Raw genomic sequence first — 23,608 nt, 5'->3', positions numbered from 1 at the left:
TGTGAGCAGCTCGCTCCCAGCCAGAGACTGTGCTAAGTGCTCCACCTGTGTCTTGTTCAATCATCACAACACCCACTACACAGATAAGAAAACTGAGGCCCAGGGGAGGCAGCTGCCCCAAGTCACAGTCTGGTCTCTGTCTCCCATCCTCAGCCTCCTGGGGGTCCCTCCCCAACCCTCTGGCAAATTTGTCTCCGAAAACAAAGGGTTAGAACCATGGGGCTCAGGGGTAATGTTTCATGAAATCTTTAATGAAATTGGGGAGAGGGGCACAAACAGAAGGGAGGGGCACTGGGGACAGGCTTGGGGGCAAGGGAGGTGGACACGGGGCAGGGCAGGGCAGGGGGCTCTCCTCTTCCCTGCAGCAACCCTCCCCCAGTCATCCCACTGACGGGGGAGGGAGGTGGGGAGGTGGAGCCATAAATACGTCCAGAGTTTCAAAGAGGTGAGGGGCGAAGAGCTGGCCAGGGCTCTCAGAGAGGGGGCAGGGGCAGGCCCGGGCCACCCTTGTCTGGGGGCCCTGGCTCCTTGGGCGGCCGTGGGGGCCCTGGGGGGTCCCCTGGCTTGCGACCGTGCTTGCGGAAGTAGCGGTAGCGCTGGACGTAGGCCCGCACCAGGTTGCTCACCTTCACTGGGTTGATTTCCCCACTTTTGCTGTGGCAGATCTGGGGGGCCGGGGACAGTTGGAGTCACCACCAGGCTCCCGGGGCCCCATCCACCCAGGACTGTTGGGCGCAGCTTGGAACTGCGGTAGGAGGAGCTTCCCCAATAACCAGGCCAAAGTCCCTCTGTCCCCCTAGACGATGGGTGCCCCAGGGCCAGCGGAACAGGCCCAGGTGGCCTTGAGAAAATCCTGTCACCCTCCTCACCTCCCAGACTGACCTCCTCCCCGTCTCCCATCCGCGTCCATCTGTCTGCACACATCTGTCCCTCCAGCTCGTTCTCTCCCCGGCCTGTGTCTGCCCCTCTCTCCGGGTGCCCACCTTGTGGACGGCCTTCCTCAGGATGTCCTTGTACTCCTCCTTGGTGATGTCCTTCTTCTGATAGTATGGCTTGATGGCCAGCTTCACCTCCTCCACCGCCCGCTCCTGCGTGTGCAGCTTCTTCAGATACTGGTGGGGTGGCGACAGCGGGGGAAGACACAGCAAGGGCCAGTGAGTACCTGCGGAACCTCCACCTCCACTCGCCTCTGCTGCCAGCCTAACCTCTCTGGCCGTCCAGCTGCTCTCAGGCTGGAAGTCCTGCTGAGGGTCTGTCCCATGCGCCCTCTGCTGCAGGTGCCCGGGACCAAAGGCCAGGCCTGGGCCTCTGCATGTCACTGAACATCTCCTCCAGGCCGAACCCTGGGCTGCTCCAGGCCTGGCCGGGACCAGGACATGTGTGTCGCCTGCCCTCACAAAGTTCAGTCTGATGAGAAGACAGGCATTGGCCAAGAAATTGCAGCTGGTTTTGAATCAGACTCTAGAGGCGGGGCTGTAGAAAACTGCACAGGGCTTTTCACCGCGGGAGCGGGGAGGACTCAGTTTAGGTTTTTACAGTACTGCTCTGGTCACCCAGGGGATGGAGGGGGTGGCTAGGGGTGAGGGGCACTGGGGAGTGGGGGTGGGGACTGACCTTGAGCCCATTTGTATCAGAAGCCTGGTCTGCCACTCCCTGTCTCTGACCCCTGGGATGCTCAGCCAAACCTTTTTGTGGCTCCTTTTTTGTTTCTTTGTTTTTGAGACAGGGTCTCTCATTGTCATGCAGGCTGGAGTGCAGTGGCACAATCACTGCTCACTGTACCCCTGGTCTCCTGGGCTAAAGCGATCTTCCCACCTCAGCCTCCTGAATAGCTGGGACTAGATGTGCCACCCCCACGCCTGGCTAATTCTTGTACTTTTTGTGGCGACTAGGTCTCACTATGTTGCCCAAGCTGATCTTGAACTCCTGGGCTCAAGCGATTCACCCGCCTCGGCCTTGCGAAGTGTTGGAATTACAGGCATGAGCCACCGTGCCTGGCCACCTTTGTGGCTCATTTGTAAAACGGGGACAGCACCTATGGGCAGTACTACAGCGACACACATGGAGGACATGGCACAGGCTGGGTACAGAGCAAAGACTCAATCCAGGGGAGCTGTGCCTGTTCCAAGGGGGATGGCCATGGGATGAAAAGGGGAGGACGCAACAGGGACAGGGCAGAGAGCCTCCGAGGCAAGGCTCTTCCCGCCTGTGGCCAGCAAGCTAGGAGATCCCGCAGCCGCAGGCTCGGGGCAGCAGCTGCAGCCCTGGCCTCAGGCAGAATCCTTGCAAAAGCAGACAGGAAACCTCTAGCCAGAGAGCCACGTGGGACCAGAGAAGAACAGGCCTTCTGCAGGCACAAGGGACAGTCCCTTGGCACCACCCTTGGAGAAGCTGCCCTCCCAAGCCAGGTGACTATCAAAGTAGGGGCAGGTAAACTGAGTCCTGGGAAGGGCAGGGCACAATGGCTAGCCGACTCCAGGAGCAACATCAGTGACACTGTCTGACGAGCTACTGAGCTGTTAGGGAACTCTGTGGCCAGAAGAGACACAGGCTGCCCTGGAGGGACTTCTCAGGCTTGCCTGGCCCCACAGGATGTGGGTCTCTAGAGAGACGCTGCTCCCCAACACCCATCTCGGATGGGCAAAGCGGGGCAAAGGGCAGAGCACAGACCAGGGCAGAGCAAGGGCCACTGTAGACCAGGGGGTCCTCACCGTCCGAGTCCTGCAGCGCAAGGCACAAGCTACGGACAAGTGACCGACTAAACTGCAGCCCCGCCTCTGCGGCTCACACAGGATGTTTAATGGGGTTTATACAGCTTTATCTGGCACGGTACACAGCTGTGTAAGGGTGGCCAACGTCACCGTCTGGCTATGGGCTACTAGACTGTAAGAAAACACATCTAGGCTGGGTGCAGTGGCTCATGCCTATAATCCCAGCACTTTGGGAGGCTGAGGTGGGAGAATCACTTGAGCTCAGGAATTTGAGACCAGCCTGGGCAACATAGTGAGACCCCAACTCTACAAAAAATTAAGAAATGAGCTGGGCATGGTGGCGCGTGCCTGTAGTCCTAGCTACACAGGATGCTGACGTAGGAGGATCCCTTGAGCCCGAGAGATCAAGGCTGAGGCTACAGTGAGCTGTGACTGTGCCACTGCATGCCAGCTTGGGTGACAAAGCGAGACCCTGTCTCAAAAACCAACCAACCAAGGCCGGGCACGGTGGCTCACACCTGTAATCCCTGCACTTTGGGAGGCCGAGGCTGGCAGATCACCTGAGGTCAGGAGTCAAGACCAGCCTGGCCAACGTGGTGAAATGCCGTCTCTACTAAAAATACAAAAATTAGCTGGGTGTGGTGGCGGGTGCCTGTCATCCCAGCTACTCGGGAGGCTGAGGTAGGAGAATCACTTGAACCCTGGAGGCGGAGGCTGCAGTGAGCCGAGATGGCACCATTGCACTCCAGACCAGGTGACAGAGCAAGACTCCATCTCAAAGAAAAACAAAAACAAAAACCCACATCTAGACCTGACCAAGAGAGAAACAGCTCCAGAGCCCAGGAGTAGGAGCCGGCCAGAGCAGCTGAGTAAGAACCTACATTACTGTCTGCCTGGCACCCATTCTCCCCTGCTTCATCTACAAACAGGTTCTTGAGTTTTCATTCGGAAACCACCCTCCCCCACTCACAGAGACGGAGACAGCGCGAGCAACAGATAATCAAGGGGTGGGCTGCAGCGCGGGGCATCTCTTCCAGGGTGTGTATATGTGGTGTGTACGCACACAGCCCCACACACGCACAGACGCGATTTTCCTTTGGACACGCCTAACGCATTTCCTGCTCACCCATTCCAGCAAAGTGGAGTTCCTTATGGTTCCATGACTTTGGTCTCTACGGCCCTGTCTCCCTGCCTCAGTCTCCCTTTCTCCTTGGGCCCCCGCGTCTCAGTTCCTGTCCATATTCTCTACAGAACTGTCAGCACCGCCCCACCTCTCCCCAGGCCAGCTCACCTTATCTGTGTCCCCACGGCCCTCAGAGCTGCTGCTGCCCTCTCTCTTGTCAGACGTGGCAGCCAGCCCGGTGGGGGTGGGGGGGGTCGAACCGCAGCCCCCCAGAGGGAGGCTGCCAGGAAGCAGGTAGCTGGAGGGGCCAGGGGGCAGACCCAAAGAGGTGGGCACAGGAGCTGGGGTCATCCCCAGACTTGAGGGTGGCTTTCTGTGGCTGAGGATCTGTGGGACGAGGACAGAGGGGTGATGAGTAAAGGGAGGTGGAGGGGAAGAGGGGACGTGCACCCCACTGTTCCCACGCTGACTTCCCCACAGCTGAGGCAACAGGCTCCTCTTCAGGCCGATACCTTGCCCCAGAGCTGCCAGGCCCGCGGTTCCTCTCCTAACCCGAGGCAATGGACAAAAGAAGGGGCGGCAGGGACTCTCCCCCAGGGGAGCCCACCTGGTTGGTGGCCTGGATCAGCTCCTGGGCCTTCGCTCGGCTCGCCAGGTTGGCTTCTTCCATCTTGAAGAGAAGTGCAGTCACTGCAGGAGGCAGAGAGGTGACAACATGAAGATGGGAGAGGTGACAGGACAGGAGCTGGTGAACCTCACCTGGACACCTGCTGTCATCTCCTGCCCTTGGCCCCAGAACAGCCACAAAGCCTCACGCTCAGAACTGGGAAAAGGGGGCCTTGGCCAATGAGAGAACAGCCCATACCACGAATGTTCTTGGGACTCCAGGTGTGTGGGTGCGGGGTTGGCCAGGGTCATGCAGTGATGAGACAGTGGCAGGAGTGAGATTCTGCCTCCTGACCCGCTGTGGCCAGTCCCAACCTCTCTCCCCACCTCTGCAGTCTGGTAGAGGCAACCGCCATCCGTAAGGAATACGATGCCCTGCTCAAGCCATTCTTTCTGGTCCCTCTCTCCTACTCCCCGTCTAGGGGAATCCCAGAACCCAGCCCACCACTCCAGTCTGTGCTGGCCACCACCTGCTCTCACCGGCCCCTCTCTCCCAGTACACCCAGGCACCTAGAGCCTGGCTGGCCTTTACTCACCCCCACCCTCCCAGTCTATGTCCCTATAAACCTCTCCCTGCCAGGGCACCCCACTGCCTCTAAGTCTGTACCCTCCAGTCCCCATCCTGTCTCACCTGCCCCAGCACCACCCTCCCCCAGGGGACACTCACAGGCCAGGACGCCGCTGGTGGTGCAGTCCACACCAGCTGGCAGATTCCAGGGCATGGGCGGGGGCAACGTGGGCAGCTGGGAGACACGGGAAGCTGGCCCGTCCTCCGCCCCCGAGTCACCGGCTGTGGACCCCGCGCTGGGGGCAGTGCTTGGGGCGGCTGCAGCAGTGCTGGTGGCCGTGGTGGTAGCAGGCTGCTGCTCCTCCTCCTCTTCCTCTTCCTCCTCCTCTTCTTCTTCCTCCTCCTCCTCCTCCGCCCCACCTCGGACCCCAGCCTCCTCAGTGGCCTCCTCGGGCAGGAAGGAGACCTCAGGTGTCTTGCAGCTGCTGTCCACGGTCTGCGAGTCCGGAGTGAGGGCAGGGGGTGGTGGGGCTGCCTTGGGGGGCGGGGTGCTAGGAACCTTGGCTGCCCGCTCCTCCCCGGACCAGGAAGTCTCCTCCGCCCCCTTGGTGCCTGCCGCCTGGCTGCAGCTATCCGCCTTGGACTTCTTCAGCGACACCTGGCCACCACTGCCCCCGCTGCCACCTCCACTGCGGACCTTTTTCCTGGTCTTGGATGGCTTGGTCTTTCCCTTGGTCCCCTTGGTTTTCTTGGCCCCTGCCTTGGCCTTGACCTTGGTCTTTTTGGGCTTGGTGCTGCCCGGAGCTGCTTTGGCCATCTCAGTGGGGGCCCGCTCGTCAGGTTTGAGGAAGGGGGAGCGACTCTCGCGGTCACGGCTGAATTTGACGCCAATGGAGCCCAGGCCGGCTGACGCGGCATCCTTGGCCGGGGTGGTGCTGCTGACACCCTCGCGGATCAGCACCGCCACCTTGGACTGCAGCTTCACCTTCCGGGAAGAACAGGAGGACGACGAGGATGAAGAGCCTGAGCCGCTGCTGACTGGTGGCTTTGGCGGGGGCCCTGAGGAAGGCGCCGACTCCTTGGGGGGCCGGGCCTTCTTGGATGACCTGTCCCTGTCCCTATCTCTGTCCCTGTCCCGATCCCGGTCACCCCCGTCCAGCGCCTTCCGACGAGACCCCTTCTCCCGGGAAGAGGAGGAGGAGGAGGCGGCCCCCGAGCGGCGCCGATCCTTCTGGCTGCTCTTGCCGCCCCGCTCCTCGCCGCTCAGTCCCTCGGAGTCGTACAGGACCTCCCGCTTAGGTGAGGAGGCCGGAGCAGGAGAGGGTCCTCGGGGGTCGGACTTGTCAAGCCGGCCCACCGTGATGGTCCGCTTGATGGCGAAGAGGTCGTGGTCCGTGAGGTCCTGGATGGAGGGTGGCACGGCCCCCCGGCGGCGGCTGTCGCGGTCACCACACGAGGTGGAGCCAGAGGGCGGCGGGGCGGGCGCCGGGGCCTTCTCGCTGCCATCCCCAGACCGCTTCTCACCCCGGGACCGCGACCGCTTCTTCTTCTTCTTGCTGCCGCCACCGTCCCGGTGTTTCCCGCGGTGCCGCTCGCGCCTCGAGGACGACGATGAGGAAGTGGCCGGGGGCGGGGAGGCGGAGCGCCGCCGCCGTCGCCGCTTCTCCCGGGACCGCGACCTGCGGCTGCCCCCGCGGCGGCGGTCGGTGCTGCGCGAGCGGCGGCGGGTGGAGCGGGAGCGGGAGCGGGAGCGGGAGCGGCGGCGGGCGGACGACGAGGCGTGGGAGCCGGGCTTGCGGTCCCGCGAGCGGTGCTTCTTGGAGTCCCAGGGCGAGGCCGGGGCGGGCGGCGCTGGCTGGGTGCCCGACGAGGACGAGGCGGCCTCCTTGGCCTCGCCGCTGCGCTTGCGTTCCCGCCTGGACTTCTTGCGCGTGGGCGGACCAGCAGCGGCGGCCGGGGCGGGCGCGGGCGCCGGGGAGGGCGAGCGCTGGCGGTAGCGCTCCCGCCGTTGGGTCAGGATCTTGCGGCGCAGGTCCAGGCCGCCCCAGCGCGAGTCGGCGGCGGGCGGCGCGGGAGCCGGCTCCCCTAGGTCCACCTGCAGGGCGCCCTCGCCGTCCGACTCCGCATGCAGGGACAAGAAGTCGTCCCCCTCGGGGGCCCGCGGAGCGGGAGGCTGAGGAAGGGGCTGGGCCGTGGGGGTGGCCGAGGCGGCCGGTGTAGGCCGGGCGGCCCGGCCGCCGGGGCGGAAGAGGGACAGCGCCAGCCTGGGCTCCTCCTCCGGCTGGACGATCTCCCCTTCCTCGATCTCCGAGTCGCCGGGCGGCAGCAGGGGCGGCGGGAGGGCGGCTCCACCAGCGGTCACCACCTCCACCGAGACCTTGCCTTCCCGACAAGCCTCTGCCTCGGTCCCCACCACGAAGACCCGCCGGCGCATGGCTCCATCAGCCCGGGTGGAGTCCACCTGGGGCGGCGTTCCAGGGGCGGGAGTCGGCTGTGTGGGCTGCGCGTCCGGGCGGGGGCTCTCGTCACCTGGGAAGTCCTGGCTCAGGCTGTTGTCATCGTAGATGCCCGCCAGGGTCTCCGAGATGCGGCTGATGCTCTGGGACAGGCCTTCCTCCTCCTCCTCGTCTTCCTCTTCCTCTTCTTCTTCCTCTTCCTCCTCCTCTTCCTCCTCAGGTGAGGGGGTCCCCGCTGATGAGCTGGGGTTGGAGCCGGTGGGCTCAAAAGGGTCGTACTTTTGCTCCGGAGCAGGCGGTGGAGAGTAGGCCTCGTCGGTGGGGTGGAAGGGGTCATAGATATCGAATCGGGGGGCAGGTGGGGCTGGGGGTGCAGGGGGCGGTGGGGGTGGGGGAGGGGAAGGGGAGGAAGATGAGGGAGAAGGGGAAGGGGAGGAGGATGCAGAGGAGGGGGCAGGGGGTGGGGCAGGGCCCCCGTCTCCCGTGCCCAAGGTGAGGTGACGGGCACAGGTGGGCCTAGAGGAGTTCGACTGTGGAGAAACTGCAAAGGAACAGGGAGAGAGAGGCGGTCAGGGCCTTTGCCTCCCTCCTGGTGCCTGCTTGCTGGCCCAGCCGTGGACACTCCCTGGGCCACCAGGTCCTGCCCAGGAAGCCCCAAGTGCTTCACAGGAGCCAGCCGTAGGATGCTCCCAACAACTGCACACCATGGTTCTTAACCCAAAGGTCACAGGAGGAAACTGAGGCAGAGGGCTGCAGTATCCTCCCCAAGGGCACACAGAGAGAAGGCAGCAGTCAGGGTGTAAACTCAGTCAGTGCGGCCCCGAACCTGCACTCCCATATCCTGAGACAGCACTGGCCTGACCCTGGGCAATGTACCCTGGCCTTGAAACTAGGAACTATCTTGACCAGTGCCGGCGACCCATCCCAGGAGGAGGTGGAGGCTGCAGTGAGCTATGACCACAACACCACACTCCATCCTGGGGGGAGAAGAAACAGGAAAACAGGCTGCAGGGGGAGAGCTGGGATTCAAACCTAAGTCCCCCTCCAAGACAAAAACAAGCTCTGGCCTGCTGCGCCAGCTGCCTCTCGTGGGAGTTTCTCCCGTTTGGTAGAGGGTGAGATTCCAGTGCAGAGCCAGGAAATGGCAGAGCTGGGGAGCCCAGGAAGGCTGGTCTTCACCCCAAGCTCTTCACTCTGTGCTGAGTCCCCACCCAAGGAATTACATCTGCTCAGGACTCAAAGACACCACTGACCAGTGACAGTGGCAATGACAAAGGTTTGCCTCTTCCTCCAAACCAGGCATGGTGCTTCGTATGTCACCTCATTCGCCCCCAAAGAGCCCGCTGCACTGTGCTAAGTACTACAGTCATGATGCCACAGTCACACGATGGAGATGGCTGACAGAGGCCACACCACAGGCAAGGATGCCAGCAGAGTGGTGTGAGGACAGTGCCAGGGAAGGAGAGGGGTCAAGAGGGCAGCACCAGAGCCACCCCTTGATCCAGGGGCTGGCCCTCACCAGCCACATGACCACAGGCAAGTGGATCAATGTGTCTTACTTCAGTTTCCTCATCTATAAAATGGGGGTATGTTCATTCATCCAACACCCTTTATGGCCGGGTGGGGTGGCTCATGCCTGTAATCCCAGAACTTTGGGAGGCCGAGGTGGATGGATCACCTGAGGTTGGGAGTTCGAGACCAGCCTGACCAACATGGAGAAAGCCCATCTCTACTAAAAATACCAAATTAGCCGGGTGTGGTGGCACATGCCTGTAATCCCAACTACTCGGGAGGCTGAGGCAGAAGAATCACTCGAAACCAGGAGGCAGAGGTTGCAGTGAGCCGAGATCGTACCACTGCACTCCAACCTGGGCAACAAGACCAAAACTTCATCTCAAAAACAAACAAAAAAAATATCAATGAGTGGAGTGTACGGTCCCTCAGCTGCCAAGGGCTTAGGGGAAGATGAAACAGGGGTGATGATGACAGCATTTACTTCCCAGGATAAGCGGAGGAATAGATGAGTGCGCAGAAAGAGCCAGGCTGCACCTGCTGCTGGGTGAGGACAGTCTGAGCCTCAGCTTTTCCTAGCCTCATTGCTATTCCCAGCACCTTAAGCACAAAATACTCTCCACAGACTAGAGCGCTCTGCAAACACGCGAGATCCACAGCTTTATATAAATTTCTGTATGGGACAGGATTATGGGTGAACTTTCTTTTCTTTTTAAAGCTACCTGGAATAAGCAAAGAAAACATAACCTCAGAGTCCCCCTGAAAACAACTACTATTAGCTTCCGGATACACCCTTATCACTCTTAAGGCCCAGGGGTCAAATCCAGCATACCACCTGTTTTCCTAAATCAAGTTTTAGAGGAACGTTGCCTGACCCATTTGTTTACTTATCCTCTGCAGCTTCTGATTTTTTTTTTTTTTTTTTTTGAGAGGGAGTCTCACTCTGTTACCCAGGCTGGAGTGCAGTGGCACGATCTCAGCTCACTGCAACCTCCATCTCCTGGTTCAAGCAATTCTCCTGCCTCAGCCTCCCGAGTAGCTGGGACTAGAGGCGTGTGCCACCATGCCCAGCTAATTTTTGTATTTTTAATGGAGACAGGGTTTCACCATGTTGGCCAGGATGGTCTCAATCTCTTGACCTCATGATCCGCTCACATTGGCCTCCCAAAGTGCTGGGATTACAGGCGTGAGCCACCGTGCCCAGCCCTACAGCTTCTGATTTTAAAGAAATTGAAACACTTTTGTGGGCCCCTAAGAATGTCATAAGTCCTAGGCACCATATCACTGTACTTAATGGATAAATCATTTCCAGCTGTTAAAAAAAAAGGGGGGGGGGTGTGGCAGGCATGGTGGCTCATGCCTGTGATCTCAGCAGTTTGAGAGGCCAAGGCAGGAGGATTGCTTGAGCTCTGGAGTTTAAGACCAGCCTGCGCAACATATCAAGACCTCATCTCTATTAAAAATTTTAAAAAAATAAAAAATAAAGGCTGGGCGTGGTGGCTCACGCCCATAATCCCAGCAGTTTGGGAGGTTGAGGCAGGCGGATCACTTCAGGTCAGGAGTTTGAGACCAGCCTGGCCAACACAGTGAAACCCTACCTCTACTAAAAATACAAAAATTAGCTCAATGTGGTGGCATGCGCACCTATAATCCCTGCTACTCAGGAGGCTGAGGCAGGAGAGAATCACTTGAACCCGGGAGACGGAGGTTGCAGAGAGACTAGACCCCACTACTGCACTCCGGCCTAGGTGACACAGTAAGACTCCATCTCAAAAAAAGAAAAAAGAAAAAAAAAAACTAGCCAGGCATGGTGGCATGCACCTGTAGTCCCAGCTACTCCAGAGACTGAGACAACAGGATAACTTGAACCGGGGAATTTGAGGCTGCAGTGAGCTGTGACTGTGCCACTGCACTCTAGCCTGGGGGACGCAGTGAGACCCTGTCTCAAAAAAAACAAACAAGGTAGCAGGGCACAGTGGCTCACGCCTGTAATCCCAGCACTGTGGGAGGCTGAGGCGGGCGGATCACTTGAGGTCAAGAGATCAAGGCCATCCTGGCCAGCATGGTGAAACCCCATCTCTACTAAAACTACGAAAATTAGCTGGGTGTGGTGGCATGCACCTTGTAGTCCCAGCTACTCAGGAGGCTGAGGCAGGAGAATCGCTTGTACTCGGGAAGTGGAGGTTGCAGTGAGCTGAGATTATGCCACTGCACTCCAGCCTGGGCGACACAGCGAAACAAGGTAAACAAGGTAAACATGACCTGGCACAGAGTGGTGTGCCTGCTCTACCACAGAACTGGTGCTCACGGCTCACAGCTGGTGCCCATAGCTGACTGCACCTTCTTCTCCTCTCCCTCCAACCCCTCCTCCAAATACAGATGTTCACGTAGAAGGAAGGCCTAAACCCAGGGTTCTCAACAGAGTCCAGGGCTCAGCAGCATGTATTGTTTAAAATGAAAATTCCCAGGTCCCACCCCAGACCTGCAGAATCAGAACTCTTGGGAGTGGGCCCAGTGATGTGCATAGTAACAAGTCCTCCTTGCAACTGAGATGTGCGTTCGCGTTTGGTCTAAAGGGCTCACAGGGTTACCGTTGTGTGTGGGGTTGGAGGAAGAGATTCCTCCTTGGGCAGCGCACATCTCAGACATCAAAAACTTGGGCTTCAGACTCAGACACACCAGGGCTCAAGGCCCAGGCACCCCACGGAGCATCTGGCTGTGCGCCCTTGGGCAAGTGCCTGCCCTTTTTCAGGCTGTCTGCTTCTCTGAAGATAGAGATTCGAAGAGTCCCCCTCCTGGGGAGATGAACGCCCAGTGCAGTGACACTAATACTTAGCGTGCCGAAACCAGTTGTCACACACGCTGACCACTCCCACATAGCCCCAGCACATCAGTTTTTACTTTATGTACATCTGTATGCGCCTACAGCCTTAATCACGTCTAATACGAAGAGAAGGGAAAGGTTTTGTCTAAATAACATGATCACCGCTACCATCACTACCAAAAACAGCCGATCCCCACACAACTCCACGACCACCTGCCCAGCTCCGCCCTGGCCCCACATACCCGTTTTGCCCGTCCTCCAGGCCCTGAGACGGGGCAGCAGGCTGGGCACAGGCAGAGGGATGGGATCTCTGTCCCCGATTCGGACCTCAGCCACCAGCTCCAGCATGTCCTCACTTCTGCAAGGCGGAAGGGGTGGGTGAGCCTCAGGGGTGCTTCTGGCTCTCACGCTGAGGCCTCTCCCACTCCAGCTGCCCAGCTACTCACTCGCCAGGCCGCAGGTCCAGGCGGCTGGGAACCCAGGTATCCGGGGGATCCAGGACACTCACCAGCCCTGCGAGGAAGCTGTCCGTGGCCATGTCCAACACCTGGAAGAGGCCAGAGAGGCTCTACGCCGTCCCTGGTCACATGAAGACTGGCAAATCCTGCTTCCCCACTCCCTAACCTCTCAGGAACCCAGACATCTAAGATCCCCAAGAAAACTGAGGATCTAATTCCTATAGCCTGACTGCCATCAACACTCAAAGCTCAGGCCCACAGATCAGGCCCCCAGACTCTCCAACATTGCCCCTGGTCAGCATCGCAGAGCCAGGAGTCCAGGTCCCCAAACCCCATTCCCCCAGACTCAGGCCCCCATCCCTTCCTCCCTGATACCCGTGAGCCAGGCCCCCAGCCCCCTCTTCTTACTCACAGTAGCCGTGTCAGTGCCCCCTGATTCCTGGGAACGGGGCTCTGACCGTGGACTCCGGCAGCGCCGCCATCGAAGGCCATGACACCGAGAGCCATCTGGTGAGAGATTTGCATGGGGGATTGGACACAGGGGACTTGCTGCAGAGACTTGCGGGGTAGAGGAAAGAGGAGCTTGATCTAGTTCCTGACAGCGGAACCAGCCTCCCGCATGCTCTCCAGGCCTCCATGCGCCACCTCCCAGGAGGACTTCCCAGCACCCACTTCAGAGGCTGCGACGCTCAGCCATTCGTCCTCCTGTCTGCCCTCAGACACCTCAACCTGGCATTCAGGCCTTGCTGGGATCCAGTCCCCACAGACCTCTCCTGCCTCCCCCAACCCCACTCACACCCTCCTGCATGCCAGCCCCAAGGAAGCCCAGCGCAGCCCCTCGCCGCTGCACCCGTGCTGTAGGCCTGCTGCAGCTGATCAGGCTTCCCTCTAATCCTAGGTCCTTAGACTCTTCTAGGTCCTTAGAGAGCCGTTCACTGTCCCTGCTCGGGGAAGGTGCCCTGACCCGTCTCCCACCATGCTAGCTCAAGTGGGCCTCCTGCCCTCTCCCAGCACTGTGCCTGTCTCCCTTCCACTGCACACTAGGCCCTTCCAAGGCAGCTACAGGGTGTCTGCCCATTTTTGGCTCCCCATGCCAGCACAAGGGTGGCACCCAGGAGGCTTCAGAAAAGCTTGTATGAATGACATTAGGATAAAGAATGCAGAGAGGGGGCAGGGGCTAAAAGGAACCGGAAGCCGCCATACCTTTATCATTGGGCAGGTCCCCCTGCAGGGAGCTTCCCACAGCCTGCTGGATGGCTCGCTGGGGAAGGGGGGAAGAACCAAGCGTCAGAGGACCCAGGCAGATGCTTTGCAACCTCTGCCCCTTGGGAGACAGACATCCCAGACACTGACAGCTAGACTCAAGTGCTTCAAGGGAGCCAAGAGTCCAGCGCCCCTGCCTCAGGCCCTGGAGTCAGGCCCCTGGAGTGTGGATGCCCAGCTCCTCCATCCCTCAGTGCCAGGAGCCCAGCAGCCTCACCAGGATAAAGGCAGAAGGAGAAAGCGTGGGGTCTCTGTCTGGCGGACCATCGCCCCGATCCTCCCCCGACTCCTCTGTCTTCCCTCGAGACTCATCTTCTTCCTCCATGGTCACCTGGGGGTCCAGGGGGGAGAGTTTGGAGTGGAGGTCCCGGGAGAAAGGATGGAAGTAGAGGATAGACATGAAGACCTCAAGGGCCCCACACTATCTCCCTCAGCATCCCCTCTGGCACCCCTCCTCTCCTCCACCTCCTCCCACTCCACCCTGTGCTTGGGTGGGCGCTGGACCCAGCACAGACACCCCAGGGACTAGGAGCAATTCTCTTCCTTTTTTCTGGGTCTCAGGTGCCTCTTATGTCAAAGGGAGGCCTCCCTGGCCTCCGCTTTTAACATCTCACTCCTCAATTCCCGCAGCTTCCCCAACAACCTATCCAAACTTCAAGACCTCATTCCCTGGCCTCCTAAGAGGCAAAGCCAACACCAAGGTTTTTTGTGTGTGCTGCACTGTGATTTCAAAGGGTGTGTTCCACAGTCCTATAAACCCACCTTTCCCAAGGCCAATGTGCTGGGCAATATTCAACACCATGCCTTAAACACCACACGGCTTCCTAGAGCATCAACTGTCCTCGATGGTGAGGACCACCCCCAAATTGTATTTATACACCTAAGTTGGAAACTTCATTGAGTGATCTGCAAAACCAGTATGCCATTTTTAAAATGAAAACGCTAAACTTCAGAAAGACATGCCGAAGGAAAACTTCACAGGAGGCATTTACCTATCGCCATCTGCACAAAGCCTTTGCAATGTCATGGAAATTCTTTGATATGATTCCCCAGTCAGGCAGTTGAAAGATCATCCATCAAACAGGTGGATGTCTTGATTAGGGCTTCAGAAAAATATGAATATTTCAGCTGTAAGCTTCCCCATGACTGTCAAATCTGCTACTCATAAGACAATATCCAATCTCAAAATTCCTAGAAAGCTTCAAAATCCCTAACCCACAACTCAGTATGCTTAATTGTAAATGCACGAAATAGGAGCATCTATCTCAGAGAATGGCTGTGAATACTCAAAGCCTGACTTCTGCCACACATTTAGAGCACCTCAAGTGCTCAATACGGATGAAGAGGAATGACACTATTAGCCCTTAACGCCCAGGTTTCCCCTACATCTGTCTCCTCGCTTCCCCCACAGCATGCCTGCAAAGACAAGGCCCTGGTCCTGTTCTAGATCCCATATAGATTTTCAAACCATGCCAAGCCTCCATATTCAGCCTCCCAGCTCCACCTAATTCCTAACTTCCTAAGACACACCCAACCCTGATAGTCTATTACATCCCAGCCTCTTTCACCAATACTCAATAAGCTCAGCCCCAGTTCCTGGCCCTGGAACTGCTCTCCAGCACCTCCCGGGGAAGCACATGCTACCTACAACAGTGACTGTCACATATCAGAAGCTTAATCAACATCTGCTGACTACAGGCTGAGGGATCCCCAAACCCTCTGCAGTATACAAAGATGCTTGCTTGCTCATTTAGAAAGCACCAGGCTTCGCAGACACACCCTCAGCTACTGAGATCTTCTGAACAGAAGAATGCTCTGCAGATACTGCTAGGTCCTATCTGGATCAGTGGTTTCCCCAACAACAGGGTCATATACCAGTTTAGTGCTTCACAAATAGCTTGTTTTAAAAAGTAAATAGAACAAAATAGTTCTTCACAGCACAGCACAAGTAGTAAGTGGAAATGTCAATTCGTGGAAGGTGAGTTAATGTTAATACATTATGTTATATAATGTTAAATACATTATGACTGTCTGTACCAGGTCTCAATGAAAAAATGTATCTTAATGCAGATCACGGTCAACATGGCCCAGGTTTCCCCTTGAAAAGCACTGTAATAGTGGGTCTAGATGACCCTCCAGACTCTTCCAGACTAATGTAGATTAATTCTAACTCTCTCAATAACCCCCAGGGTAATGCAGAATCTTAAAACATTTTTCATTTGAATTACTGTCTGAAGGGCAAGTATATCTAAGCTGGGCAAAATTTCCTCATTCTCTTTCCGTATTATTATTCGCCACAAGCTGCTCTGACCCCAAAGGCATTCGAATTTGCTCCAGGCATCAAAACTGCATTCCTGCAGTCACATTAAAGCCATCTAGATGGTTCCAGGTCCTTCTAACTGCCCCCAGCCTCCTGTCACCCATTATTAGACACTACCCATACCTTGGAGACCCCAGACCCTCAGTACATCTCAATATTTGGCGCCCTTCCCTGGTGGGCATAACCCAACCCCCTAGGGGGCCCTAAATGACTTCTTAGCCCTTGAACACTCCTTCTAGGCCTGATAAATGGCCCCAGACTTATGCAGACCAGTTGCATCCTCAGGCCAGCCCATGCAGACACTTTCCAGCCCTAAAAGACATACCCCAGGCCTCTAGATGGCTCTGAAGATACTCTTCAGGTCTTGCAGACCCTCCTTCACCCCTGGGACATATCTCAAGATCTCAAGATGGCCCCAGAACCCTCTAACCAGACCCTAGCCTCCGGTCAGCCCAAAAAGACAATCTACAGTGTCTACAGACACGATCCAGGCCAGCTGTGTGATGGAGGGCAGGCCTTAGGCTCGGTCTAGGCCCAGAGACGCCCCAAGTCCTCTCGGAGACGCCCCATAGACGCCCCCAGGAACCCACGGATGCGTCCCGGGGCCCTGAGAAGGCCCCCCTCTCGGCGCCAGGTTTCGCCGCAGCTGCCGGGCCCGAGACCGCCCCGAGAAGCCCTCTAGGACCCGTGGCTTGTGGGGAGGACCCCGGGACAACTAGCGACCCAACTCCGCCCCGCCCACCCCAATAGGCCCGAGCCCCGCGGCCCGGACTGCCGCCGCCATCTTACCCCGCCGCTCGGGCTGCGGCTCCGGCCCCGGCGCGGGGCGGGGCGGGCTGGGGCGGGGTTCGTGAGCAAAGGAGGAGAGAGGCGGAGCTAAAGCGCCGCCGAGCTTGCCGGGATTTCAAGTACCGAGCACGGCGACGTGAAGGCCGGCGGGAAGGCAACCGCACTCGGTTTCCCAGAAGCCAATGGGACACATGGGGCGGGGTCCGCGCGATGCACGCCGGGAGGCGTAGTCCGCGCACCGCCTCTGTCGCGCGGGGACAGCTAATGGGGTGAGAGGTGAAGTGGGCGGGGCCGCGGTAGCCCGCGATGACGCCCCACAGTGCCCTGCGCGCGCGCGGAAAGGGTGGCGGAACAGGAGGTGACGTAAGAGGCGCCAGGCAGAACAGACGCAAGGGAATTGTAGTCCGGCGGAGTGAGCACGACTTGCTGGATGTTGTGCTGCCCACATTCTGGGGCTCTCAGAATCCAGATCCTCTAGGCCCCCCTAAATTTAGAACCAGACGGGATGCAGTGGCGCACACCGTAGTCCCACTCGGGAGACTGAGGCGGAAGGATGGCTTGAGCCTAGAAGTTAGAAGCCAGCCTAGGCAATATAGGGAGACCCCGCCTCTAAAAAAATAAAAATAGGCCAGGCGCGGTGGCTCACGTCTGTAATCCCAGCACTTTGGGAGGCCGAAGCAGGCGGATCATCTGATATCAGGAGTTCAAGACCAGCCTGACCAACATGGTGAAACCCAGTCTCTACTAAAAATACAAAAATTAGCCTGGCGTGGTGGCTAACGCCTGTAATCCCAGCTACTCGGGAGGCTGAGGTAGGAGAATCGCTTGAACCCGGGAAGCGGAGGTTGCAGTGGGCCAAGATCGCGCCATTGCACTCCAGCATGGGCTACAAGACGGAAACTCCGTCTCAAAAATAAACAAATAAAAATAAACTTAGAACCTAGAAGCCCGACCCCATAGCCGCCTCGTTCAGTACAGAGAAGTCTGAATTCCGAATCCTCTCACTCAGAGCAGTGTCCAGACTCCTATTTCCCTCCTCCCTCCGACTCAGGAGTCTGATTCTTCCTTCCTCGGATCCAAGAGTCGGTCTCCCAGACTAGTCCTGGTCTCAAGCTCTCACATACGAATTCGGGTCCCCCCAAGCCAGTGCCCTCGCTCGGATCCAGAATCCTGGGTCCCCAGCCTCTCCAATTCCTGGACCTAAGAGTCCAGGCCCCCGGCTCCCTCCTTTACCGAACCTAGTACGAAGGAACCTGTCTACCTTCCTCCCTGACACCCTCCTCCCCAGGACCCAGGAGTCCACATCTCCAGCCCCATTTTCTCCTAAGGACCCAGGAGTCTGGGCCCTCTGCTTCCTTCTCCTTCAAGACCCAGAAATCCTGGCCCCAGGCTCTTCATGACCCAGGCATCCCTACTTGGGCGAGCTGGCTCATGGATTAGGAATGCAGTGATCTCACGGCCCCTCCCTGCCCCGTTACCCTGCTGTCCCCCTCTAGGGCCCCACTCTCCTCCCAGTCTGTCTTCCGCTTGGCTGGGACAGCGGGAACCGGAAGCCTGGGTCCCTTAGCGGGCGGAGACTCTAGCTTCTAACCCAGACGCCGGGGTCGAAAGCTTGGCTAGGATCCCAGGAGGGAGGTGGAGCTACTCCTCAAAACCTGCTGCTTCCTCGGAGCGCCCTATATACGGCCGCGCGCGCGAGTCGACGAGCTCCGCCTACCATACTAAGGCCTCGGAGACGATGCCCCAAGCAGCAGTGTCACAGGGGTCCTTATTTGCATAGCCCCTCCCCTGAGGAACTTTCCGCCCCGTCTGCTGAAAGAATAAATTCTTATTAGCATAGCCACGCCCACAGACCGCCCTCCCGCTGAGAGCGCGTGGCGCCGCTCAGGGCAAAGCACAGGTCTCTCATTAGCATAGCCCCGCCTCATTCGGAATTCCCCTTCGCAGCGAACGCCGTTCCCTTTCCCTTATTAACATAGCTCCTCCCTTTCTTTGGCCCGTCCCCCTCCTTAAGTGTCCGGAGACGCGAGCCCTCCTTGCCAGAGCTCATGATTATGCAGTAGCCTCATTAGCGTAGCCCGCCCCCCCGGGTCCCGCCCGGCTCCCCCGCAGGCGGTAGCGAAGGCAGCAGCAGCGGTGGCGACATGAGCAGCGGGGCGGCGTCCGGGACAGGGCGGGGGCGGCCCCGGGGCGGGGGACCTGGGCCCGGGGACCCCCCGCCCAGCGAGACACACAAGCTGGTGGTCGTGGGCGGCGGCGGCGTGGGCAAGAGCGCGCTGACCATCCAGTTCATCCAGGTAGTGGGCCCTCACCCGGGAGGGTGTCCCCCGGGACCCAGAACTGAGCCCTTGGGGGGATCCCCGAGACCCCTTTTCCCCCTTGACCCATCACTGAGACCCTCCTATAAGGCCCTCTAATCTTAAAAGATCCCCACAGATTGTAACCTAAACTCTTGGAGAGCCTCCATCCCCTGCACGGGGGACCCTTCCTTCTGCACTCGCATCCCGAGACCCACTATTCCCTCTCCCAGTGCCTAAGACCCCGCTTACCTGCTGACCTGGCTTTGAGCACCTCCTGGGAGCATGCTAAATACAAAATACTCACCCCATTCGGACCCTAAGCACTCCCAGGACCCCCACCACGCCCTTGGTGCCACCTTCCACCACCCTGAGCCCTATCTCCCCCAAATCCCAGTCCCCAACTTCCCCTCTAAGCCATTGAGAGCCTTCCTGGGAGAATGCCAGTGCCCAGCACCTTTGAGATTCCACCACGTTCGATTCTTTTTTTTCTTTTTTTTTTTTTTTGAGACAGAGTCTCACTCACTCTGTCACCCAGGCTGGAGTGCGGTGGAGTGCAGTGGTGCGATGTTGGCTCACTGCAACCTCTGCCTCCTGGATTCAAGCAATTCTCCTGCCTCAGCCTCCCAAGTAGCTGAGACTACAGGCGAGTGCCACCATGCCTGGCTAATTTTTGTATTTTTTAGTAGAGACGGGGTTTCACCATATTGGACTGGTCTCGAACTCCTGACCTCGTGATCGGCCTGCCTTGGACTCCCAAAGTGCTGGGATTACAGGCATGAGCCACCGTGCCCGGCCCCACGTTTGATTCTTAGCCCCTTCCATGACTGCCCCCAGAATCTAGAAATTCTACCCAGACCCTGGCCCTGAGACTCTTCTGGGACTACCCAGTCCTAAGAGAGTCCTGCTCTCCGACCCGAGATTTAAAAAGACATCCTGCCCCTTGGCCATTCCAGAAATCTCCAAGACCCCAAGTCCTGACAATCCCCCATTCCCGGAGGCCCAAACCTCCACTCTCCCACCCCACCCCCAAGGAAAACCAGCCCCTCCTCCATCCCATGCTTTCTCCGCTGCAACTCCCTGAGCCCCTCTCAGAAACCCTGAATAGCTCTCAAATCATCTCCATGGAAGAAGCCCCCAGATTCTTGGCACCCCCAGAAAGATCTATTCCTTGGGAGTTTCTCTGACCCCATAAATGAACTCAATGTTTCTAAGACTGTATATACTATAACCTCCCAAAACCCCTGAGCCACCTCCGGGCTGGCTCCCAGTTCTCAGCCCTGAGCTTCTCACGCTGTGCTCTGAGGTCACGCCCCTAACTACCCCCAGAGCCACAATCCCTCCCAGGGCTTGATCCTTACAGCCTCCCTCCAGGACAAGCCCCTCACCAAGCACCCCTCTAACCGACAGATGCAGCCTTCAGACCCCTAGCCTCCACATCACCCCCTTTCCTGAAATTCCACCCCAGCCCAGGAAACCTCCTCCCCATTCCTGAGGGAGGTCCTCCCAGCTTCAAAGAAATCCTAGAAAAGTGTCTTGGCCTGACATGCTACCGCAGAGGCCCCGGGGCCCCAGGACACCCCCCTCACCCCCACCAAGAGACCCCTTCAAGGGCCTGGGAGGAAGCCCTGCTTGTGTAGAGAAAGGCCCCAGCCCTGGGCCCCTTGCACCCAGAGGCAGTCCCAGAGCTGGCCAAAGGCTTGGCTGGCAGCGGGCAGGACCCAGGCAGGAAGGGAGGGGCTGGGGCCCGAGGGTGGGGCAGCCTCTCCGCAGCCGGATTGGAACCGGGACCTTCCCCTGGGAGGAGACGCTGGAGGCCGCCTGAGCAGGAGAAGGAGACGGGGGAGGAGGAGACGGGGGAGGAGGAAGAGAGGGAGGAAGCAGAAGAGGAGGGAGAGATATAAACAGGCAGTCTGGACAACAACGCCTCCGATAACTGATACATTCAATATTTAATGGGGTTTTGCTCCGAATCTTGCCAGTGCTGGATGGAGTGTAGTGCTGTTCTTAGCCTCCTTTTTCAAATGAGGAAACTGAGGCTCAGAGAGGGGAAGTGATTTGTTCAGTGTCACACAGCTAGGATGTAATCACGATGTGGGACATGTACCTTATACCAGAAAGAGAGGACCAGGAGTGACTCAGAGAGAAGAAGACTGGTAGGAGGGGTGGGGGGCAGGGAAAGGGGGGCAGGGGAGCAGCTACCCAAAGAGAAGGGGACAGAGACCCAGAGAGAGAGAGTAATAGAGACTCAGAGAGACAGAGGGGACAGAGACCCAGAGAAAAGGGGGCAGAGACCCAGCAACAAGGACAGACATCTGGAGAGAGAGAGAAGGACAGGGCAGGGCGCAGTGGCTCACATCTGTAATCCCAGCACTTTGGGAGACCCAGGCGGGCGGATCACCTGAGGTCAGGAGTTCGAGACCAGCCTGACCAACACAGCCTGACCAACACATCTCTACTAAAAATACAAAATTAGCCAGGTGTGGTGGCGCATGCCTGTAATCCCAGCTACTTGGGAGGCTGAGGCAGGAGAATCTCTTGAACCCAGGAGGCGGAGGTTGCAGTGAGCCGAGATCTCGCCATTGCACTCCAGCCTGTGCAACAAGAGCGAAACTCCGTCTCAAAAAAAAAAAAAAAAAAAAAAGACTCAGAGAGACAGACGGGACAGAGACCCAGAGAAAAGGGGGCAGAGACCCAGCAACAGGGACAGACATTTAGAGAGAGAGGGACAGAGACTGAGAGAGGCATCCCAAGGGCAGGGCTTCGTCCTGTCTGCCGGGGCACTGCAGTAACTATCCTCTCCCCACCCCGCCAGTCCTACTTCGTGTCTGACTACGACCCCACTATTGAGGACTCCTACACGAAGATCTGCAGTGTGGATGGCATCCCAGCCCGGCTGGACAGTGAGGGCGGCAAGGATGGATGATGGATGGGGGTGGTGTCAGTGGGGGCTGAGGGCTCTTGGGGGTGACTGCGGGGAGCCTGGTCCCCACGATGGCCCCTCTCCCTGTCTCTGCAGTCCTGGACACCGCGGGCCAGGAAGAGTTCGGGGCCATGAGAGAGCAGTACATGCGTGCTGGCCACGGCTTCCTGCTGGTGTTCGCCATTAACGACCGGCAGAGGTGACAGGGGTTGCTGGTGGCGGAGCAGTGGGTGGGTGTGGGGAGGACCTGGGCTCTGCAGCTGGCTGGACCTCATGCCTCCGGCTTCACTCGCAGTTTCAACGAGGTGGGCAAGCTCTTCACGCAGATTCTGCGGGTCAAGGACCGCGACGACTTCCCCGTTGTGTTGGTCGGGAACAAGGCAGATCTGGAGTCACAGCGCCAGGTTCGGGACACCCCTCTTTCTGGGGACCCCATCTCAGTCTGGGAGGCTCCTTCCAGCACACCTGTCCCCCATCAGCATCCTCCTCTGTTCCTGCAGTGCTGCGACTGCCACTGTCACACAGCTCACCTAGATGGGTTACCCCCAAACTGGACCTTCAGGGTCCCCGGCATCACCGAGCAGAGGGCCTAGCATGCAAGTGTCCTCAGGAGAGGCTGCTGGACGGAACAAAGGACATTCACCCCCCGTCCGCCAGCTCTCTTTGCCCCTTCCTCGCATTCCTCCCTTCCAGCCAACCTCCCACCAGCCCCAGCACCTCCCCTGCTCATGGCCGGCCCCCTCCATGGCTCCCCAGTTCCTCCCCAGGTGCCAGATGCCCCGCACAGTTGCGCCCCTCCTTTCCCTGCTCCCATCACTTCCCCCACAACGATTTCCACACAGAACTCATCCATCTGGCAAAGGCTCTGGGGATTTCCAGGCTTTGGGGTTCCGCCTGCCTCTGCCGGGAACACCCTGACTTCCCTGCCTGCCCACTCCTGGTTATCTAAGGCATAGCAGGGCAAGTGCCCACGAAGCCTGCCCCCATCCCTTACTTAGAAGACACCAAGCCCCTGCGGCATCTCCCTCCATAATCTCTCAGGAGCTCTTCCTCTTTGAGTTCTCACAGTGGGTCACCTCTCCTAGAGTATCCAGCCTGCCTGTCTGTCTCTCTGGCTGCGGTCACCCTGAGTGCAGGGACCTGACTCCCCCGTGTCCCCCCTACCCCCAGGTCCCCCGATCAGAAGCCTCTGCCTTCGGCGCCTCCCACCACGTGGCCTACTTTGAGGCCTCGGCCAAACTGCGTCTCAACGTGGACGAGGCTTTTGAGCAGCTGGTGCGGGCTGTCCGGTGAGCCAAGTCCCCTTCCTGTCGTCCTTGTCCCCAGCCCTTCCACTCCAAACTCACTGGCGTTTTCCCACAGGAAATACCAGGAACAAGAGCTCCCACCGAGCCCTCCCAGTGCCCCCAGGAAGAAGGGCGGGGGCTGCCCCTGCGTCCTCCTGTAGCCCAGGCAAGAGAGAAGCAACCACCACAAGCTCTCGGGACTAGCTGCCTTCGCACCTTGCTGTGTGACCTGAGGCCCTCACTGAGCCTCAATTTCCTCATCTGGGTCTCCCAGGACACATCACATACCCACCCTTACTTCCTGGCCTCTTCTGGGCTACTGCCACTGTGTGCCTTCTGCCAACGCCTCCTGTCCCCACCTAAGCCTGGTGGGGGTGAGGGGCTCCGGGTCACTGCTGTATATAACTCCCCTCCCCCAGAAAAATAAATGTCACTGCCAACGTCAGGAGGTGCTTTCTAAAAAGGTAATGAG

General features: G+C 58.4%; 2 protein-coding genes across 5 annotated transcripts, besides 12 other annotated features; one reads left to right on the top strand and one right to left on the bottom strand.

Annotated features, from left to right (window-relative positions):
* Positions 86-789: an enhancer, noted in NCBI's record as "H3K4me1 hESC enhancer chr19:50161341-50162044 (GRCh37/hg19 assembly coordinates)". NCBI's record gives its function as "activates a minimal SCP1, AML or CMV promoter by ChIP-STARR-seq in naive H9 embryonic stem cells {active_cell/tissue: H9 hESC(naive)}" and the evidence as "EXISTENCE:reporter gene assay evidence [ECO:0000049][PMID:30033119]".
* Positions 231-18,408, bottom strand: SCAF1 (SR-related CTD associated factor 1). Of its 4 annotated transcripts, none has more exons than XM_011527194.4 (11): positions 18,348-18,408; positions 13,739-13,852; positions 13,462-13,519; positions 12,671-12,765; positions 12,247-12,347; positions 12,043-12,158; positions 5,168-8,005; positions 4,442-4,524; positions 4,003-4,221; positions 984-1,112; positions 231-665 (listed from the first exon to the last, which is right to left on the bottom strand). In XM_011527194.4, exons 1-11 carry the CDS (start codon positions 18,348-18,350, stop codon positions 474-476), a joined length of 3,948 nt encoding a protein of 1,315 aa, XP_011525496.1. In that variant the 5' UTR covers positions 18,351-18,408; the 3' UTR covers positions 231-473. The 4 variants fall into 4 exon arrangements, with proteins under 4 accessions (XP_011525496.1, XP_005259179.1, NP_067051.2 ...); XM_005259122.6 differs by lacking the exon at positions 18,348-18,408 and adding an exon at positions 16,167-16,664; NM_021228.3 differs by lacking the exon at positions 18,348-18,408 and adding an exon at positions 16,631-16,664.
* Positions 2,410-3,185: an enhancer, noted in NCBI's record as "H3K4me1 hESC enhancer chr19:50158945-50159720 (GRCh37/hg19 assembly coordinates)". NCBI's record gives its function as "activates a minimal SCP1, AML or CMV promoter by ChIP-STARR-seq in naive H9 embryonic stem cells {active_cell/tissue: H9 hESC(naive)}" and the evidence as "EXISTENCE:reporter gene assay evidence [ECO:0000049][PMID:30033119]".
* Positions 16,454-16,743: a silencer, noted in NCBI's record as "silent region_10927". NCBI's record gives its function as "represses an Ori minimal core promoter by ATAC-STARR-seq in GM12878 lymphoblastoid cells {active_cell/tissue: GM12878}" and the evidence as "EXISTENCE:reporter gene assay evidence [ECO:0000049][PMID:35858748]".
* Positions 16,774-17,123: an enhancer, noted in NCBI's record as "active region_14952". NCBI's record gives its function as "activates an Ori minimal core promoter by ATAC-STARR-seq in GM12878 lymphoblastoid cells {active_cell/tissue: GM12878}" and the evidence as "EXISTENCE:reporter gene assay evidence [ECO:0000049][PMID:35858748]".
* Positions 16,774-17,543: a biological region, named in NCBI's record as "NANOG-H3K27ac-H3K4me1 hESC enhancer GRCh37_chr19:50144587-50145256".
* Positions 16,874-17,543: an enhancer, noted in NCBI's record as "NANOG-H3K27ac-H3K4me1 hESC enhancer chr19:50144587-50145256 (GRCh37/hg19 assembly coordinates)". NCBI's record gives its function as "activates a minimal SCP1, AML or CMV promoter by ChIP-STARR-seq in naive H9 embryonic stem cells {active_cell/tissue: H9 hESC(naive)}" and the evidence as "EXISTENCE:reporter gene assay evidence [ECO:0000049][PMID:30033119]".
* Positions 17,234-17,333: an enhancer, noted in NCBI's record as "active region_14951". NCBI's record gives its function as "activates an Ori minimal core promoter by ATAC-STARR-seq in GM12878 lymphoblastoid cells {active_cell/tissue: GM12878}" and the evidence as "EXISTENCE:reporter gene assay evidence [ECO:0000049][PMID:35858748]".
* Positions 17,544-18,213: an enhancer, noted in NCBI's record as "NANOG-H3K27ac-H3K4me1 hESC enhancer chr19:50143917-50144586 (GRCh37/hg19 assembly coordinates)". NCBI's record gives its function as "activates a minimal SCP1, AML or CMV promoter by ChIP-STARR-seq in naive H9 embryonic stem cells {active_cell/tissue: H9 hESC(naive)}" and the evidence as "EXISTENCE:reporter gene assay evidence [ECO:0000049][PMID:30033119]".
* Positions 18,214-18,883: an enhancer, noted in NCBI's record as "OCT4-NANOG-H3K27ac-H3K4me1 hESC enhancer chr19:50143247-50143916 (GRCh37/hg19 assembly coordinates)". NCBI's record gives its function as "activates a minimal SCP1, AML or CMV promoter by ChIP-STARR-seq in naive H9 embryonic stem cells {active_cell/tissue: H9 hESC(naive)}" and the evidence as "EXISTENCE:reporter gene assay evidence [ECO:0000049][PMID:30033119]".
* Positions 18,214-18,993: a biological region, named in NCBI's record as "OCT4-NANOG-H3K27ac-H3K4me1 hESC enhancer GRCh37_chr19:50143247-50143916".
* Positions 18,604-18,993: a silencer, noted in NCBI's record as "silent region_10926". NCBI's record gives its function as "represses an Ori minimal core promoter by ATAC-STARR-seq in GM12878 lymphoblastoid cells {active_cell/tissue: GM12878}" and the evidence as "EXISTENCE:reporter gene assay evidence [ECO:0000049][PMID:35858748]".
* Positions 18,730-23,581, top strand: RRAS (RAS related). The gene is made up of 6 exons (NM_006270.5): positions 18,730-18,927; positions 21,743-21,830; positions 21,947-22,049; positions 22,146-22,254; positions 23,021-23,139; positions 23,213-23,581. Exons 1-6 carry the CDS (start codon positions 18,775-18,777, stop codon positions 23,295-23,297), a joined length of 657 nt encoding a protein of 218 aa, NP_006261.1. The 5' UTR covers positions 18,730-18,774; the 3' UTR covers positions 23,298-23,581.
* Positions 22,112-22,678: an enhancer, noted in NCBI's record as "H3K4me1 hESC enhancer chr19:50139452-50140018 (GRCh37/hg19 assembly coordinates)". NCBI's record gives its function as "activates a minimal SCP1, AML or CMV promoter by ChIP-STARR-seq in primed H9 embryonic stem cells {active_cell/tissue: H9 hESC(primed)}" and the evidence as "EXISTENCE:reporter gene assay evidence [ECO:0000049][PMID:30033119]".

This window comes from Homo sapiens, chromosome 19 (assembly GCF_000001405.40).
Source record: "Homo sapiens chromosome 19, GRCh38.p14 Primary Assembly".
Classification (NCBI taxonomy): Eukaryota; Metazoa; Chordata; class Mammalia; order Primates; family Hominidae; genus Homo; species Homo sapiens.
Note: the sequence above shows the minus strand (reverse complement) of the source record. Positions and strands in the feature narration are given on the sequence as shown.